The sequence below is a fragment of the Homo sapiens genome, chromosome 12 (genome assembly GCF_000001405.40).
Source record: "Homo sapiens chromosome 12, GRCh38.p14 Primary Assembly".
In the NCBI taxonomy this organism is placed as follows: domain Eukaryota; kingdom Metazoa; phylum Chordata; class Mammalia; order Primates; family Hominidae; genus Homo; species Homo sapiens.
Window position 1 is genome coordinate 55,681,166 of NC_000012.12, and position 15,676 is coordinate 55,696,841.

At 51.5% G+C, this 15,676-nt stretch overlaps 2 protein-coding genes across 28 annotated transcripts in view, besides 6 other annotated features; one reads left to right on the plus strand and one right to left on the minus strand.

The window, feature by feature from the left end:
• Positions 230-905: an enhancer, noted in NCBI's record as "H3K27ac-H3K4me1 hESC enhancer chr12:56075179-56075854 (GRCh37/hg19 assembly coordinates)". NCBI's record gives its function as "activates a minimal SCP1, AML or CMV promoter by ChIP-STARR-seq in naive H9 embryonic stem cells {active_cell/tissue: H9 hESC(naive)}" and the evidence as "EXISTENCE:reporter gene assay evidence [ECO:0000049][PMID:30033119]".
• On the plus strand, positions 571-3,446 carry TMT1B (thiol methyltransferase 1B). The gene is made up of 2 exons (NM_152637.3): positions 571-1,087; positions 2,648-3,446. The coding sequence occupies exons 1-2, from the start codon at positions 590-592 to the stop codon at positions 2,882-2,884; spliced, it is 735 nt and encodes a 244-aa protein (NP_689850.2). The 5' UTR covers positions 571-589; the 3' UTR covers positions 2,885-3,446.
• ITGA7 (integrin subunit alpha 7) overlaps positions 3,403-15,676 on the minus strand; it is a 31,833-nt gene continuing 19,559 nt past the window's right edge. For 25 of the 27 annotated variants that reach the window (XM_047428797.1, XM_005268844.2, XM_005268848.2 and 22 more), the window contains 13 exons: positions 15,118-15,267; positions 14,357-14,472; positions 13,613-13,805; positions 13,450-13,530; positions 13,278-13,357; positions 13,091-13,165; positions 12,856-12,958; positions 11,976-12,152; positions 11,679-11,810; positions 7,679-7,792; positions 7,037-7,135; positions 6,806-6,931; positions 3,403-4,123 (listed from right to left, as the gene is read on the minus strand). In XM_047428797.1, the coding sequence (XP_047284753.1) occupies positions 3,893-4,123; positions 6,806-6,931; positions 7,037-7,135; positions 7,679-7,792; positions 11,679-11,810; positions 11,976-12,152; positions 12,856-12,958; positions 13,091-13,165; positions 13,278-13,357; positions 13,450-13,530; positions 13,613-13,805; positions 14,357-14,472; positions 15,118-15,267 (1,677 nt within the window). In that variant the 3' untranslated portion in view covers positions 3,403-3,892. Of the gene's footprint in view, positions 4,124-5,036; positions 5,150-6,805; positions 6,932-7,036; positions 7,136-7,678; positions 7,793-11,678; positions 11,811-11,975; positions 12,153-12,855; positions 12,959-13,090; positions 13,166-13,277; positions 13,358-13,449; positions 13,531-13,612; positions 13,806-14,356; positions 14,473-15,117; positions 15,268-15,676 lie in introns of all 27 variants that reach the window. The other 2 variants (XM_005268841.3, NM_001414034.1) reach the window with 2 other exon arrangements.
• Positions 3,932-4,431: an enhancer, noted in NCBI's record as "H3K4me1 hESC enhancer chr12:56078881-56079380 (GRCh37/hg19 assembly coordinates)". NCBI's record gives its function as "activates a minimal SCP1, AML or CMV promoter by ChIP-STARR-seq in naive H9 embryonic stem cells {active_cell/tissue: H9 hESC(naive)}" and the evidence as "EXISTENCE:reporter gene assay evidence [ECO:0000049][PMID:30033119]".
• Positions 12,485-12,985: an enhancer, noted in NCBI's record as "H3K4me1 hESC enhancer chr12:56087434-56087934 (GRCh37/hg19 assembly coordinates)". NCBI's record gives its function as "activates a minimal SCP1, AML or CMV promoter by ChIP-STARR-seq in primed H9 embryonic stem cells {active_cell/tissue: H9 hESC(primed)}" and the evidence as "EXISTENCE:reporter gene assay evidence [ECO:0000049][PMID:30033119]".
• Positions 12,485-13,829: a biological region, named in NCBI's record as "CDK7 strongly-dependent group 2 enhancer GRCh37_chr12:56087579-56088778".
• Positions 12,630-13,829: an enhancer, noted in NCBI's record as "CDK7 strongly-dependent group 2 enhancer chr12:56087579-56088778 (GRCh37/hg19 assembly coordinates)". NCBI's record gives its function as "activates an origin of replication core promoter dependent on BRD2, BRD4, P300/CBP, MED14 and CDK7 cofactors, with strong dependence on CDK7, by STARR-seq in HCT116 cells {active_cell/tissue: HCT116}" and the evidence as "EXISTENCE:reporter gene assay evidence [ECO:0000049][PMID:35650434]".
• Positions 12,986-13,486: an enhancer, noted in NCBI's record as "H3K4me1 hESC enhancer chr12:56087935-56088435 (GRCh37/hg19 assembly coordinates)". NCBI's record gives its function as "activates a minimal SCP1, AML or CMV promoter by ChIP-STARR-seq in primed H9 embryonic stem cells {active_cell/tissue: H9 hESC(primed)}" and the evidence as "EXISTENCE:reporter gene assay evidence [ECO:0000049][PMID:30033119]".

The following is a 15,676-nucleotide window of genomic DNA, read 5'->3' on the forward strand; positions in this document are numbered from 1 at the left end:
TTACCCCATTCCCCACAGAACTAAACTTCTCACCCTTTCCAGGAGAGGGCATGCTGTCTCTGTCCTGTACACCTACTTTTTCCTCTGCCAAGAGCACCCTTCCCTTCCTATGGCCCCTCTGAAGTGCCTGACCTGAGGACGAAATGAGGCCAGGATATGTCCCATGAGTCAACTCTGTCCCCAGCATTCACCACTACCAACCCACCCCCAACGCCCTGCCAGCCCCCGACACTCCCCCGCCATGAGTCTGTCATCTGAAACATATCCCCTTACCCCTTCCCACTCCCTCTGAGATGACTCAGCAGCCCCTGCCCCCCTTCAGCTGGGCACAGTGCCCCAGAACTCAGGAACATGGGTACCACCTGTCCCTCCGCCCACATAAAAGTCATTGAAGAGCTTGTGGGGCTGTGGGACCTGCGCCCTCTGGAGGAATTCCATACACCCACTCAACTCTGGCAAATAGGAAATTGTCAAGTAGGAGACAAGGAGCAAAGTCCTATCACAGCGGGAGGGGACGCCAGCGCCTGCAGAGGCTGAGCAGGGAAAAAGCCAGTGCCCCAGCGGAAGCACAGCTCAGAGCTGGTCTGCCATGGACATCCTGGTCCCACTCCTGCAGCTGCTGGTGCTGCTTCTTACCCTGCCCCTGCACCTCATGGCTCTGCTGGGCTGCTGGCAGCCCCTGTGCAAAAGCTACTTCCCCTACCTGATGGCCGTGCTGACTCCCAAGAGCAACCGCAAGATGGAGAGCAAGAAACGGGAGCTCTTCAGCCAGATAAAGGGGCTTACAGGAGCCTCCGGGAAAGTGGCCCTACTGGAGCTGGGCTGCGGAACCGGAGCCAACTTTCAGTTCTACCCACCGGGCTGCAGGGTCACCTGCCTAGACCCAAATCCCCACTTTGAGAAGTTCCTGACAAAGAGCATGGCTGAGAACAGGCACCTCCAATATGAGCGGTTTGTGGTGGCTCCTGGAGAGGACATGAGACAGCTGGCTGATGGCTCCATGGATGTGGTGGTCTGCACTCTGGTGCTGTGCTCTGTGCAGAGCCCAAGGAAGGTCCTGCAGGAGGTCCGGAGAGTACTGAGACCGGTAAGCAGGGTGGGAAGGGGATGGGTGTGGGGCAGGCAAACGCAGCATCAGCCGCCCCAGGGTTCGGCCCCCAGAATGGGGCGTCTGAGGTAGTAAGTAGCACATTAGACACCCCATCCACCTCTACCTGCTGGTGAATAGGAGACATGACCAGTGCCATGACGGGGCACAATTGGGTGCTGTGGAAGCAACAGGAGGATCACCTACCACCATGGGACAGGGAGGGGAGTGGGGAGGACACCTAAGGAACTGAGGTTTAAATCGAGATCTGTGCTTGGGAGGCTGAAGCAGAAGGATGACTTGAGCCCAGGAGTTCAAGACCAGCCAAGGCAACATAGTGAGATGCCGTCTCTACAAAAAAAAAAAAAAAAAAAAATACAAAAGCTAGCCAGGCGTGGTGGCACATGCCTATAGTCCTAGCTACTCAGGAAGCTGAGGTGGGAGGATCACTTGAGCCCGAGTTCAAAGTTACAGTGAACTATGATCGCACCACTGCACTCCAGCCTGGGCCACAGAGTGAGACCCTGTATCAAAAAAAATAAATAAATAAATAAAAAGAGAGAGAGAGAGAGAGATCTGAGGGATTAAGCAGAGTGTGGACGGGGTGGGGAAAATAAAAGAGTGTTCTAGGTAAAGATAGTAGGGGAAGTAGAGTAGAATCCATCAGACTGTGGAGAGAACGTTCAGAATAGTTTCCAGGTTTCTAGCATGAGCAACTGAGGGGAGAGCTGATGAAAAGTGCCATTTGCTGAGATGGAAGAAAGCTGTTTTGGACTTACTAGGTTTGAGATCACCTAGGGAGAGTATAGTGAGGCGAGGAGCTTGAGGAACCCCAGCTTCAGTCAAGAGTTGGGCCTGAGGTTTCCCTGGGATGTTCACAGCGATGTCCAGGAAGCAGCTTGTGCATGCATCTGGGTTTTGTGAGAGAGGTTGTGCGTGTATCTCAGAATACAATAAGCCCAGCTGGGCGAGGTGGCTCACGCCTGTAATCCAGCACTTTGGGAGGCAAGGCAGGTGGATCTCTTGAGGCCAGGAGTTTGAAACCAGACTGGCCAACATGGTGAAACCCTGTCTCTACTGAAAAATACAAAAAGTAGCCGGGCGTGGTGGCTCATGCCTGTAATCCCAGCTACTTGGGAGGCTGAGGCAGGAGAATCGCTTGAACCTGAGAGGTGGAGGTTGCAGTGCGCCGAGATCACGCCATTGCACTCCAGCCTGAGCAACAGACTGAGACTCTGTCTCAAAAAATAATAATAATAATAATAATACAATGAGCCCTCCACTCCTGTTTCTCAGTTTCCCCTTCTGCATGCCCTCGGTTATTCTGGTCAGGCTTTAAAGATCTCCCACCAGCCACTCCTTTCAGTTATGAGGTTCTTCACATGCACTTTGAAGGCGGTAGCAGGGGATGCAGAAAAGGTCAGGGGCACGACAGTTTGCTCCATGAACTCTCAGACCAGCAGCTCCCATTTCACCAAGAAGTTTGACTGTCTTGATCAGCGCGATAGGGAGCAGGGTCAGAATGGAGCCAAGTGACACTAACTCTCTCATCCCTCCCAGGGAGGTGTGCTCTTTTTCTGGGAGCATGTGGCAGAACCATATGGAAGCTGGGCCTTCATGTGGCAGCAAGTTTTCGAGCCCACCTGGAAACACATTGGGGATGGCTGCTGCCTCACCAGAGAGACCTGGAAGGATCTTGAGAACGCCCAGTTCTCCGAAATCCAAATGGAACGACAGCCCCCTCCCTTGAAGTGGCTACCTGTTGGGCCCCACATCATGGGAAAGGCTGTCAAATAATCTTTCCCAAGCTCCAAGGCACTCATTTGCTCCTTCCCCAGCCTCCAATTAGAACAAGCCACCCACCAGCCTATCTATCTTCCACTGAGAGGGACCTAGCAGAATGAGAGAAGACATTCATGTACCACCTACTAGTCCCTCTCTCCCCAACCTCTGCCAGGGCAATCTCTAACTTCAATCCCGCCTTCGACAGTGAAAAAGCTCTACTTCTACGCTGACCCAGGGAGGAAACACTAGGACCCTGTTGTATCCTCAACTGCAAGTTTCTGGACTAGTCTCCCAACGTTTGCCTCCCAATGTTGTCCCTTTCCTTCGTTCCCATGGTAAAGCTCCTCTCGCTTTCCTCCTGAGGCTACACCCATGCGTCTCTAGGAACTGGTCACAAAAGTCATGGTGCCTGCATCCCTGCCAAGCCCCCCTGACCCTCTCTCCCCACTACCACCTTCTTCCTGAGCTGGGGGCACCAGGGAGAATCAGAGATGCTGGGGATGCCAGAGCAAGACTCAAAGAGGCAGAGGTTTTGTTCTCAAATATTTTTTAATAAATAGACGAAACCACGAAACCACTAGACTGATGGCAGCAAACTAAGGTCAGATGAGAGGGGAAACTAGAGAAGGAGCAGCCTGAGTCAGTGACACAACCTCCTCCCCGACCCTCTAGGTTAAGGCACTTCCGGGGAGGCAGGTCCTTGGGGTCCTGTTACACAGGGTGAATGGGAGAGGAAGGGATTAGGATCCCTTCTCCCCACCTTTGCATCAGGACACCCCTGCCCTTCTCACCCTACCCCATGGCCCTGTCCCTGATTTACCCACTCTCATCTCACAGCACTCTAAGGGGAAGTTGGGTGGGAGGAGTTCTTGTGGGTGGGAGAGGTCTGTGCCCCTGAGGAAGCCGATCCTGCCAAATCTTGATGCGACACCAGCAGCCCACTCTACCCTCTTCATCCCAAGGAGCCATCTCTGGGGAAGGGATGGAGGGCAGCCACAGGCCAGGCTGGGACATGGGAACCTAGGCGGTGCCTGGCCCTGGATGCCCATCGGGGCCCAGCTCGGGATGCCCGTCAGCAGCCAGGATGGGGTGTGCATCCGGGCCCTCCCGCCGGGGGCTGCCCCAGTTGTTCCTCAGGATGGTGCCCGTCTTCTCCTCCTTGAACTGCTGTCGGTCTTCCCGAGGAATCTTCACCGCATGGTACTGGGGCACGGTGGCCTCGGGGTGCTTCGCCCGTTTGAAGAATCCCATCTATAAGGACACCAGGCCAGACCATGAGGAGCCTGAAGAGCTGCGGTCCCTGGAGCAGATGCCTAGCGCGGCACAGCTCCTCACCCTCACCATCCCTGCTGCGGCAGAAAGGAAATAGGCTGAATAGCATCTGGTGTGGTGGGCAGCACCCACGGTGCTCCCATCAGTGCTGTGTCCCCAGGTTCTCATTCACAGCAAGAGAGAGACCAGAAGGGCGTCCAAGAGGCAGGACCAAGGGTATCTCCCTTGGCCCCTGAAAGAGGGCCTTGAGGGTGGAGCATCAGGACCGGACTCAAGATTTGTACCCCCTCTAGCTTCTTAAGAGACCCAATAGTGTCCCCCAGAACACAAACAAGACCTGAGGAAGAAAATGGCTTCCTAGTCCCCTGCATCTCTGGAATGATACCTCTCAAGCCTCATAAACATGCACCCCGTGTACTTGTACCTTGGGCGGCACGCCCCTTACAGCAATACCCTCTTGTCCATCAATACAGTAGTCTAGCCCCACCCTAAATGAGGACCATGCTGGCCCTTACACACCAGGGTGGGAATGTGCCCCTGCACACTCACACTCAGAGGCCCAGGACTCCTACATGCTCAGACTGCATGGCATCTCCTTACACATTCATCTCCTTGCACACTCATGCCCATAGAAAAAAGCATGCATGCGACCTCCCCACACTCCCACATGCTCACACCCCATGAGCCCACCAACCCTTTGTGCACGCCTCAGGCTGTGTAGACTTACCCTTATATCTGCACCCTTCTAATTACCTCTCACCTCACATCACTCTCATGCAATCTCATTTTTCACCCTGAACATTCCTGATCCCCTGAATGCTGGGAATTCTCCTTATATTCACACACATACATACCCACACACACTAGACACATGCACACACACAACAGTTACCCCACAGTCCCTGGACCCCCAACTTCCATGGCTGAAGGCTGCACAGCCAGACAGGCCCGGTGATAGTTGGTGGGAAAAGATGAGCTCTGGCTGCTCCGATGGAAGAAGCCACACTAGGATGTCGAGGGAGAAGCAGGGCAGAGGAAGCAGAGGATGGAAAGATTGAGGAAGGACAGGATCCCCTATCTCTGCTCTGTCTTCCTTCCATGGGAGCAGGGAGCAAGCATCCTGGGACCAGTTTCACAGAGGCATCAATCTCCCCTAAGACTGGGAAGGTTCCCAACAGCTTGGATGCCACTCCAGAGCCTGGTCTACTGATGATTCACACTTGCCAAAGGGTGGCTCAGTCTCTGATTGGTCCCAAAGAGCAGGCACAGGCAGGGGCAGTTCTCCAGAGCCCCAAGGACATGTGTGGTTCTGAACATAGCCCCCGATGTGGCAGATGGCTCAGCATATGACCCCGGTGATGTATGTGATTCCGTGTACTGACGTGTGCATGTGCATACTTTTACATTGAGCCCTGGATACCAGTATGATTCGGTATACAGCTCTGGGTGTACAAGAATGCTTCCATGCAGAGCCTGGTATGTGGAAGCTCTGAGTTCCGCCATGAGGGCAGTCCCCTGGAGGCCGTTCTCCGTGCTTGTTGGCCTTCTTGGCCACATTTACCTTTCCAGTTTTCACTGCCACATTCTAGTTAAGTCAGATCACACTTCTCTGCCTCCACGACTTTGCCTACCATGGTCCTGCTGGACCCCACCTACCTCATCCCCTTACATCCTCACCCTACTACCCCACCTTCCTCTGAGGACTGGTTCCAGTGCTACCTCCTCTCAAGCTTTTTTCCCTCTAAACTCCCACTCCATTTTCTCAACTCAACACTTCCTGCCTTGTCCTTGACTACAGGCTCACCACTCCCATCCCACTGGACTATAAAATCCCTGAGAACGAGATCTGCATCTGATTTCTTTTTTTTTTTTTTTTTTTTTTTTTTGAGACAGAGTCCTGCTCAGTCCCCCAGGTTGCAGTGCAGTGGCGCAATCTTGGCTCACTGCAACCTCCACCTCCCGGGTTCAAGCGATTCTCCTGTCTCAGCCTCCCAAGTAGCTGGGATTACAGGCACCCCCCACCATGCCCAGCTAATTTTTTTTATTTGTTTGTATTTTTAACAGAGACAGGATTTCACCATGTTGGCCAGCTTGGTCTTGAACTCCTGACCTCAGGTGATCCACTCACCTCAGCCTCCCAAAGTGCTGGGATTACAGGCATGAGCCACCATGCCCGGCTTTTTTTTTTTTTTTTTTTTTTGAGATGGAGTCTCGCTCTGTCACCCAGGCTGGAGTGCAATGGCGCCATCTCGGCTCACTGCAACCCCACCTTTCGAGTTCAATCGATTCTCCTGCCTCAGCCTCCCAAGTAGCTGGATCTACAGGTGCGTGCCACCACGCCCAGCTAATTTTGTATTTTAAGTAGAGATGGGGTTTCACCATGTTGTCCAGGCTGGTCTCGAACTCCTGACCTCAAGTGATCCACCTGCCTAGGCCTCCCAAAGTGCTGAGATTCCAGGCATGAGCCACTGCACCCAGCCTGCATCTGATTTATCTTTGAAACATCCAGGGACTAATAGAGTTCCTGAGACATGCAGGGCAAGTGTTCAGTGCAGATTTGCTGAATACATGAGTGTGTGGGTGGGTGACAGAACCACAATACAAAATGCTGCTCACCCAACCAGGAAGTCCACCCCCATCAGCCCCACCTCCAAGCCTCACCTTCCACAGGAGCAGCACCAGCAGTGCTAGCACCAGCAGCCCAGCCAGTACAGCCAGGAGGATGACCCACCAGGGCACTCCTTCTGCCACCACAGCCATGGGGTCCAAGTATACCATCACTGGGATCTGGGGAGCAAGGGGTCAATGGAGCAAGAGGTCAATGGAACAAGAACTGGAGGGAGCAGGAAAGAAGAGAGTCCTCCCCACCTATCCCCCAACCCTGCAGCTCACCACTGTGGAGGCATCTCGGAGCATCAAGTTCTTTATGGAGGACTTCACTGTGATGTTGGCCCGGACAATCACTTCCAGGGACTTCACAGCTGAGTACTCCTAAGGGAACAGGGAAGGAGACCCTTCTCCTAAATGCCCCATGTCTCCCTCCCTTCCCCTTACCTCCTGAAATTATAAATGTAATGGTGCCCAACACAGAGGATGTTTCTGCCTGGTTTGGGTTAAGAGTATGCTGCGTTTGGGCTGGGCACAGTGGCTCACACCTGTAATCCCAGCACTTTGGGAGGCCAAGGAGGGTGGATCACCTGAGGTCAGGAGTTTGAGATCAGCCTGGCCAACATGGCAAAACCCCGTCTCTATGAAAAATACAAAAATATCGGGTGTGGTGGCACGTGCCTGTAATCTCAGCTACTCAGGAGGCTGAGGCAGGAGAACCTCTTGAACCTGGGAGGCAGAGGTTGCAGTGAGCTGAGATCGCACCACTGCACTCCAGCCTGGGGGACAAAGGAAGACTCCGTCTCAAAAAAAAAAAAAAGGGGGGGGATGCTGCATTTGGACAGTGAGGAAGGAGGAGGAGAAATGAGTCCTGGAGGGGCTTTGGAGGAAGAAGAAACACAGACTAGAGCCGAGTGGTATCCTCACCTCCAGAAAGGTGCTGTTCCAGAGACGGCCCCAGACATGCAGCACAGCCGCGCGGTCAAAGCTGTAGAGTGGGCAGCTGAACACCACACAGTTGGCCGTGCCCCGGGCGCAGTCCTAGGGATAAGGACAGACAGGGGTCTAAGCCACTCAGCTCAACCCTGCTGAGACTGCCATCTCTCCCATTTTCCTTACTTGACCTCAAACTCCCCTCCTCCAGGAAGTCTTCTCAAACTAATCTTATATCCAAAATAGCTGCCTGCCCCAAATCTGAGCTATTCAGCTTTGAAATGCGTGGAGGGGGCAGCATGGAAGGGAATCTCTTACTTGACAGCACAGGCAGAGTAGCTTCCCCAAGTGATGCTTATGTTACCTAATGACAGTCCCATTTATTGAGCACCTACTACTTGTCAGGCACTTATCTCACTTAAGCTTCGCAATAGTCCTACAAGGTGCACATTATCATCCTCATTTTTCAAAGGAAGAAACTGAGGAGGCCCAAGGAGGCCAAGCGACCTGCCTCAGGTCACAGCACTAGCAAAGCTAATGAGTGGTGGAGCAAATATTTGAACTCAGGTCCATATTCGGCAAAGCCACACCCCTGCCCTAAACCCAAACTCGCTGAAGGAGGAGGAGGTAGCCTCAGGAGCTCCTGGGTAGACAGGGGACTCAGGCTCTGTTCTTTCCAGGACTGACCTAAATCCATTTGGCCCAATCACCACCTCACGACCCATTTGCCTGAAAGTTATGTTATATTCATCACACCACGATCCAGACACAGAAGAATGGCTTTAAGAGTGTCTGAATTATTTGAGTTATCTTTTATTTTGCCACTTTTGAGCCATTCAAGAATCCTTAGCCAAGCTGTCTAAAAGCAAGGCCTTCTGCCTTTTTAGTAAAAGAATCTACTTTAGTACTAGTACCAAAACAGAGATATAGATCAATGGAACAGAACAGAGCCCTCAGAAATAACGCCACATATCTACAACTATCTGATCTTTGACAAACCTGAGAAAAACAACCAGTGGGGAAAGGATTCCCTATTTAATAAATGGTGCTGGGAAAACTGGCTAGCCATATGTAGAAAGCTGAAACTGGATCCCTTCCTAACACCTTATACAAAAATTAATTCAAGATAGATTAAAGACTTAAATGTTAGACATAAACCATAAAAACCCTAGAAGAAAACCTAGGAATTACCATTCAGGACATAGGCATGGGCAAGGACTTCATGTCTAAAACACCAAAAGCAATGGCAACAAAAGCCAAAATTGACAAATGGGATCTAATTAAACTAAAGAGCTTCTGCACAGCAAAAGAAACTATCATCGGAGTGAACAGGCAACCTACAAAATGGGAGAAAATTTTCGCAACCTACTCATCTGACAAAGGGCTAATATCCAGAATCTACAATGAACTCAAACAAATTTACAAGAACAAAACAAACAACCCCATCAAAAAGTGGGCAAAGGACATGAACAGATACTTCTCAAAAGAAGACATTTATGCAGCCAAAAAACACATGAAAAAATGCTCACCATCACTGGCCATCAGAGAAATGCAAATCAAAACCACAATGAGATATCATCTCACACCAGTTAGAATGGCAATCATTAAAAAGTCAGGAAACAACAGGTGCTGGAGAGGATGTGGAGAAATAGGAACACTTTTACACTGTTGGTGGGACTGTAAACTAGTTCAAACCTTGTGGAAGTCAGTGTGGCGATTCCTCAGGGATCTAGAACTAGAAATACCATTTGACCCAGCCATCCCATTACTGGGTATATACCCAAAGGACTATAAATCATGCTGCTATAAAGACACATGCACACGTATGTTTATTGCGGCACTATTCACAATAGCAAAGACTTGGAACCAACCCAAATGTCCAACAATGATAGACTGGATTAAGAAAATGTGGCACATATACACCATGGAATACTATGCAGCCATAAAAAATGATGAGTTCATGTCCTTTGTAGGGACATGGATGAAATTGGAAATCATTCTCACTAAACTATCACAAGAACAAAAAACCAAACACCGCATATTCTCACTCATAGGTGGGAATTGAACAATGAGAACACATGGACACAGGAAGGGGAACATCACACTCTGGGGACTGTTGTGGGGTGGGGGCAGTGGGGAGGGATAGCTTTAGGAGATATACCTAATGCTAAATGACGAGTTAATGGGTGCAGCACACCAGCATGGCACATGTATACATATGTAACTAACCTGCACATTGTGCACATGTACCCTAAAACTTAAAGTATAATAATAATAAAATTAAAAAATAAAAAATAAAAAAATAAAATAAAATAAAAAAGAATCTACTTTAGACATTATGTTAAGCAAAGTAAGCCAGATTCAGAAAGATAAATACTGCATTATCTCACTTATATGTGGAATCTGAAAGTTGAACTCATAGAAGTAGAGAGTAGAATAGTTGTTACCTAGGGCTGGAGTGGAGGCGGGGTGTGGCTGGGGAGATGGAGGAGATGGTGGTCAAAAGATACAAAGTTTCAGTTAGACAGAAGGAAGAGATATCTATTTAAGAGATCTAATGCACAACATGGGGACTGTAGTTAATAACAACATATTGTATTCCTGAGAATCACTAAGAGAATAGATTTTAAGTGTTCTTACCACAAAAATAAGTATGTGAGGTGATGCATATGTTAATTAGCTCAATATAGCCATTCCACAGTATATACATATTTCAAAACATTGTATTATACATGATAAATATAATTTTTGTCATTTAAATAAATAAATACATTTTAACATGAAAACAAAAAGAATCTATTTCAAAGTTCCCATTTAAAAGGGAGGCCTCTCAGAGGAAATCGGTCACGTGGAGAAGGGAGGATTATCCATGTAATAGAGCAACAGCCACGACATGGGTTCCTACATCCCCTGACGTTCTTCAGTTTGCCTCATGCCATGCTCCCAGGGGAGCTGAGGGCCCAAAGCAGGGACTGCAGCAGCTGCTGACATTCCCCTGCAAAGGGTCTCCTTGGCTCTACCTGGGGTTTACCTCCACCTCCTTACAATCAAGCCAAAGACCTCCTAATCTAAGTCCCCACCACATTCTCACTGCGAGCCCCATCCTAGCAGGGAGGGGCACAGAGCATGTGCGGATCTGCTCAATACCTTCACCTAAACAACACAACTCTGCAAAACAAGCAGAAAAGGGGAAAGCAAAACTGCTCAAAAGGGGTAAACTTAATAAATCACATATAATATACGGTTGTCTTAATTATTAGAACTTTTAGAATTTAGTGTTTTTGCTGAGCGCGTGGCTCAGGCCTATAATCCCAGCACTTTGGGAGGCCGAGGCAGACAGATCGCTCGAGGTTAGGAGTTCGAGACCAGCCAGCCTGGCCAACATGGTGAAACCCCGTCTCTACTAAAAATACAAAAATCAGCCGGGTGTGGTGGCATGCACCTGTAGTCCCAGCTACTTAGGAGGCTGAGGAAGGAGAATCGCTTGAACCAGAGGCAGAGGTTGCAGTGAGCTGAGATCGTGCCACTGCACTCTAGCCTTGGTGACAGAGCAAGACTCCGTCTCAACAACAACAAAAAAGAACTTAACATTTTTAATACTGTAAAAATCAAGCAAGTGTCCTTACACAAATTGACTTTTTTATCTTATAAGAGTTCAAAAGAACGACAAACAGACCTCAAAGTGTGAGGATGGGCTAACCCCATCCCATCACGTATAAAATGTAATGCTTTATATAAACGTAATGTGAATCAATTGCTTGGCTAACTAACTGGCTTCAGGTGGAGTGACCTGTTCTAGAGTGAGCAATTGCAGGGGCTGAGCAGGAAGGGGGTCTGCAGTGTCAGTAGCTGCCTCCCGGGCACCCCCTCCTATGAATTGTGATGGGAACATCTGGTCAACTTGCACCCAGACCATCATGTGTCTCAACAGGTACCCTTCCTGGACACGCAGCACCCCGGAGCTCTGGCTGCACCGAGTCTGGCCTGCCCTCACCAGGGTGATGTTTTTCTTCTTCTCAGCAGAGGACACTGGCCACCAGGACATGCTGGGCTCCTGCCGCTCACCAGGCTCCTGCTGCTCAGGTGGCTCCAGCTCCCGCCGCCTCCTATCCCTACTGTCCACATCCTGGACACGGAAGGGGGGTCTTAGTGAGTGTCCCTCCAATCACAGCAGTGCTAAGATCGAATCTCCTCCCCACCGCCTTCCTCCTGCCCCATCACTGCACTCACTACCCTTACTCCCCATAACATCTGTCCCCACATCTAACCCCCACCCCCACCTAAGCCTCACCAGGTGGAGGATGTTGGGCCTGGGAGAGCAAAGCCCTTTCTGCCCAGGCCCCTGCCCGCCCTCCAGCTCAACCTGCATTGGGTACAGCAACCACTTCCCATTGGCAATCTCATGAGGCCACATGATGTTGAGGAAGGCAGAGCCCAGGGTTCTGAGCGACTGGCCTTGGTTGGAAACCTGTGGGAAAAAGAGAGTATGAGGGGAGAGACCTCAGTTTTTCTTTTTTTTTTTTTTTTAATTTTTTGTAGAGACAGGATCTATGTTGCCCAGGCTTGTCTCTAACTCCTGGGCTCAAGTGATCCTGCCACCTTGGCCTCCTGTAGTGCTGTGATTACAGGCATGAGCCACCGTGCCCAGCCAAGGAACTCAGCTTTCAAGTGGATCCTAAATCCACAGAGATGGAAGGAACAAGGGCTGAAGAGAAGGCCCTCAGGAAACACAATTTCAACAAATACTCAGGATCCTAGACCCCACCAGGCACCATTCTCTCCACCCACCAAATCCGGGAAACCCTGGAAGTGTCCCTGGAAGGTGTGAGGAGAGGCCCCAGCCAAGCAAAGGCAGAGTTCTAGGGAGAGACATTAACCCCCCGCCCCATGTTCCCATCCCCCAGCTGAGGCCCACAGCAGAGAAGCTTCCCTGGACTCTCATGGCCTACCACACCAGCAGGTGAGACAGCCAGACAGAATGACCAGGAAATGGTCAAATGAGGCCCCAGCAGGAACACCTTCCCACAGCCAAGGTCCATATGCAGGACAGAGGCCTCAAACTGCATGCTGCCACATGGTAGAAGAGCCCCAGCCCTGGGGACACAGCTCAGCCTCTCCTCTGTGCCAAGGAGGGAGGGTGACCATGGAGGGGCCTCATCCCTGACACTTACCGTGACCTCATACTTGACCTTGCTGCCCACATCCCGCTCAGACTGCATGGCTCTCTCGCCCCTCACCACACCAGAGAAGAAGAGTTGCTGGGGAATGGCCATTCTGGCGTGGAGAGGTCAGAACAGGGGTGAGAAGGTCTGGGGCCTGGCTCAATGAAGGCAGGGCCCTGGCCAAGGTTTGGAAATGTCAATGCCCCCTCCCTCCAATGGAGGTGCCCCCTTGGGCCAGGCTCACCCTGCAATGGACAGTGGCAGCTCAATGAAGACACGGGCTCGTGCAGAGACTGGATGCAGCTCCTGCTCACTGATCCTGGTGAGTGGGCAGGGGCAAGTATGGGCATCAGGCACAGGCACCTCCCAAGGGGTCAGATGAGGTCAATATGACTACCCCCACCTCACCCTTCCGGCCCCGCCTGGCTTACGTGGCCAACAGCAGCTCTACCTCCAGTTCCGTGGTCTCAATGCTGATCCCGGAGGTGCTAAGGATGAGGTAGAAGGTGACCTAGGCCAAGGGTGGAAAGAGATTAGAGTCAGGGGTGGTCTACGGGCTTATGGAGAGGCTACTCACGTAGGGATAAGGGCAGATGTGCCAACCTGGGCACCTCTCTTCATGGGGTTCCCCAGCTCACACTCAACATGGGAGGCATTCTCATTGGACAGGCAGAGTGGCTTCTCCTGGAATGGGAGAGAAGGCAAGGTCAGTCTGGGTTACTGGAGCCCCTCAAGACCCCACCCCATCCTGCCCCCAGGTCCTCACCGCAGGGTCCAGGGCCCGGACCCCTGAGTAGTGCAGTGAGTCAGGAAGCATGACCAGGAGCTGGGCTTCATGGGCATCATCCCCATCAGCCTGGGGCTGGGCTGGGTCCGATGGCAGGTTGGTGACCATCAGCTCCAGGCCAATGACTGGCTGCCCACTCAGTGCAAACAGGGCTGTTGTTCCATCCACATCCCTGGAGAGTCAGACCCCACTCCTGCTAAGTTCTGAACACCTCCCCCTACCATTCCCCCGCCCAGTCTGCTCCCCCAGTACCTGCCTTCACTCCCTGAGCCTCTCTTCCCACCCCAGGTCCCCATCACACCCGTCCAAGCCTCAGGCCTCTGTACACACGACTGGGAGTCAGGGGACCTCCGTTCTCATCTCAGCTCCACCATTACTTACCTTGGCCAAGTAACTTAACCTCTCTAGGCTTCAGTTCTCCATCTATAAAATGAGACTAATATAATTCCTACCTCACAGAGGTTTGAAGACTAACCAATGAGATGTATGTAGACTGCATATTATTAGTGTACTGTGAAGGATTGCTATTCCTTGCCATGGGAGCCCCCGTGGCCCCATCACTGACCCTCATCTCAGTCTCCAAGTCCATCGGCAGGTCCTCTTCCACCTTCTGCCTTTTCTGCAGGCTCAGCCCTTCCCTCTGACTGGTCCTCCTGAGAGGGCTTTCTCTCAATCCTTGAACTCTTGCCCTCCCACCCCCACCCTGCTCTCTGCCCCCCTCACATGGGCAGAGGTTGGAATTCCGTGTCGCTGACCCGGGTACAGAAGCGGGCGCGGACCAGCTGCAGATTGCTCTGGCAGATCTTGTCTTCACCACAGCCTTGCTTCAGGAAGTGGATCTGGGGAGAGACATGAGATAAGGGGCATTCCTAGGGGGCAAGGCAGGGGGCAAACCTGTCACCATGGCATATGGTGGGTTAGAGTATCACAGGATTAAACAACCTGTCCTCAACTCTCAGATCTGCTGCTTATTAGCCATGTGATCCTGAACTGGGTCCTCTCCTCTGGGTCCTCTCATCATGGTAGTGATGGGAGCACTACCATGCCATGGTAGAGACTAGCAGCAAGTCAAGAGCTGGGCCACACTGCCCCAGCTCACATGCATGTAACTGAGTTCCGGATTTAGAACGGGAAAAGATGTCAAGGGCACCACTTCTGGGCCAGCCATAAAAACCATGCAAGCAAGGGGCCTCATGTTCTCCCTTCCAGCTGAATGGGATGAATGTGACTTCAAGAGCTTGAAGGCCGCATTTGAAGATTACAGAATCCCATCAACCTGAGCCCCCTGAATGACTACATGGAGTAGAGGAGCTCTGTCCCCTTGACTAGGAACATGGTCATTTAGGCACCTAGAGATATGAGGAATTACTGGAGTAGCATACGTGAAAGGGCTCTGTGAGCTGTGAATTGGTGTCACTGGGGAGGGACCATGATCTTTGCCCTCCCAGCTCCTCCCCCTGGGCTAAACCAGAACCCATGCTCACCTCTGCCCGCTGGGTGCTGGGCTGGTGGGCATTGAGGATGGGGGCCACTGGAGGCAGCCCCTGGCCAGGAGCCTGTCGCCGGAGCCGAGGGGTCTGGAGACTGTAGGACAAGGTCACTACAATGGCCCGAAGCTTGTCTTTGACATTTTCCTAGGAAGAGGAAGGTCTATTCCTCACTGGAACAATCCCCAGGCCTCAGCCCTGCTCAGTGCCCCAGCCAGACCTAGGACCAATTCTAAAACTTGGAAAGAATATTAGGGAGATGAATGAGAGAGGTGGAGAACTGAGCAAGGAGGAGGGAGAAAGACTGGGGTAGGGGACAGGGGAAACCTTTAGGGCTTTGAGGACCAGATGTGATGATAAAAGCTGCCACCTCCTCCATTCAGCTGGAAGAGGGGACATGAAGCCCCTTGCACCTCCTCCTCCTCCAGGGAGTGCAGAAATGACAGGAGAGGGCAGCAGATGAGGAGGAAGTGAGCTCAGAAGACAGGTTTCCCACGTGTCTAGGTCTTAGAAGGAGGCACGAGTGTGCTCGGGAAAAAGCAGCTAAGAGGAATCA

Excerpts from the sequence above, each read along its gene's own strand:
- TMT1B (NM_152637.3), top strand. The coding sequence starts at position 590 with ATGGACATCCTGGTCCCACTCCTGCAGCTGCTGGTGCTGCTTCTTACC. Across the intron at positions 1,088-2,647 it reads TCCGGAGAGTACTGAGACCG|GGAGGTGTGCTCTTTTTCTG; the intron begins GTAAGCAGGGTG and ends CATCCCTCCCAG.